Below are 2285 nucleotides of genomic sequence, written 5' to 3'. Positions count from 1 at the left end.
TCAGTTCTGTTATCAAAGCTATGAGGAACTTATAAAATAAGTTGGAAACGGTACCCTTCTTTTAAAAATATTTCTTGAGGAATTTGTGTAAAGTTAGTGTTATTTCTTCTTTAACTGTCTAGAAATATCCCCAGTAAATCTCTCTTGGCTTGGAGATTTCCCTGCGGGAAGATTTTTCCAGTATAAAATAAATTTCTTAAATAGAATTAGACAATTCAGGTGTTCTACTTATTTTTGTATCATTTTTATAAATTATATTTTCAAGTAACTTGTTCATTTCTTTTTTTTTTTTCTCATTAAACTTTTTTAATGGGTCTCAAAATTCTGTGACAAATTTTTGGTCAAGTTGTTTCCATTTAAAAAGTACTGATTTTAAAAACTAATAACTTAAAACTGCTGCATGCGAAAAAGAAAACCAAAGTGGTCCACAAAACATTCTCCTTTCCTTCTGAAGGTTTTATGTTGCATTATTATCATTAACCAGTCTTTTACTACTAAACTTAAATGGCCAATTGAAACAAACAGTTCTGAGACCGTTCTTCCACCACTGATTAAGAGTGGGGTGGCAGGTATTAGGGATAATATTCATTTAGCCTTCTGAGCTTTCTGGGCAGACTTGGTGACCTTGCCAGCTCCAGCAGCCTTCTTGTCCACTGCTTTGATGACACCCACCGCAAGTGTCTGTCTCATATCATGAACAGTAAAGCGACCCAAAGGTGGATAGTCTGAGAAGCTCTCAACACACATGGGCTTGCCAGGAACCATATCAGCAATGGCAGCATCACCAGACTTCAAGAATTTAGGGCCATCTTCCAGCTTTTTACCAGAACGGCGATCAATCTTTTCCTTCAGCTCAGCAAACTTGCATGCAATGTGAGCTGTGTGGCAATCCAATACAGGTGCATAGCCAGAGCTTATTTGGCCCGGATGGTTCAGGATAATCACCTGAGCAGTGAAGCCAGCTGCTTCCATTGGTGGGTCATTTTTGCTGTCACCAGCAACGTTGCCACGATGAACATCCTTGACAGACACATTCTTGACATTGAAGCCCATATTGTCCCCAGGAAGAGCTTCATTCAAAGCTTCATGGTGCATTTCGACAGATTTTACTTCTGTTGTAACGCTGACTGGAGCAAAGGTGACCACCATACCAGGTTTGAGAATACCAGTCTCCACTCGGCCAACAAGAACAGTACCAATACCACCAATTTTGTAGACATCCTGGAGAGGCAGGCGCAAGGGCTTGTCAGTTGGACGAGTTGGTGGTAGGATGCAGTCCAGAGCCTCAAGCAGCATGGTTCCACTGGCATTGCCATCCTTATGGGTGACTTTCCATCCCTTGAACCAAGGCATGTTAGCACTTGGCTCCAGCATGTTGTCACCATTCTAACCAGAAATTGGCACAAATGCTACTGTGTTGGGGTTGTAGCCAATTTTCTTAATGTAAGTGCTGATTTCCTTAACAATTTCCTCATATCTCTTCTGGCTGTAGGGTGGCTCAGTGGAATCCATTTTGTTAACATCAACAATTAGTTGTTTCACACCCAGTGTATATGCCAGAAGGGCATGCTCTCGGGTCTGCCCATTCTTGGAGATACCAGCTTCAAATTCACCAACACCAGCAGCAACAATTAGGACAGCACAACCAGCCTGAGATGTCCCTGTAATCATGTTTTTGATGAAGTCTCTGTGTCCTGGGGCATCAATGATAGTCACATAGTACTTGCTGGTCTCAAATTTCCACAAGGAGATATCAATGGTGATACCACGTTCACGCTCAGCTTTCAGTTTATCCAAGACTCAGGCATACTTGAAGGAGCCCTTTCCCATCTCAGCAGCCTCTTTCTGCAATTTTTCAATTGTTCTTTTGTCGATGCCACCGCATTTGTAGATCAGATGGCCAGAAGTGGTGGACTTGCCCGAATCTACGTGTCCAATGACGACAATGTTGATATGAGTCTTTTCTTTTCCCATTTTGGCTTTTAGGGGTAGTTTTCACGACACCTGTGTTCTGGCAGCAAACCCGTTGTGAAAAAGCTAACTTGTTCATTTCACATAAATTACATAATTTATTAGATACAATTTTTAATAGTTTTTTTATCTTTTTAATGCCTATAGAAAAATTTTATTTCTGTCCCTATTTTGTCTTCTGTCCCCTTTTTCCAATTTCTGCTTTCTTTTATTTCCCATTGTTCAGCCTTGTCGAGTTTTACTAATTTATCTAGTCCTTTCAAAAAAGTTGTTTTTGACTTTAACTTGGTCTGGGCCTACATGTCTGTTTAATT

The 2285-nt window shown here is 40.4% G+C and overlaps 1 pseudogene; it reads right to left on the bottom strand.

Moving 5' to 3' along the window:
* On the bottom strand, positions 290-2037 carry EEF1A1P11 (eukaryotic translation elongation factor 1 alpha 1 pseudogene 11; annotated as a pseudogene).

This window comes from Homo sapiens, chromosome 1 (genome assembly GCF_000001405.40).
Source record: "Homo sapiens chromosome 1, GRCh38.p14 Primary Assembly".
Lineage (NCBI taxonomy): Eukaryota > Metazoa > Chordata > Mammalia > Primates > Hominidae > Homo > Homo sapiens.
The sequence above is the reverse complement of the archived record's forward strand: the minus strand, read 5'-3'. Positions and strand labels throughout refer to the sequence as shown.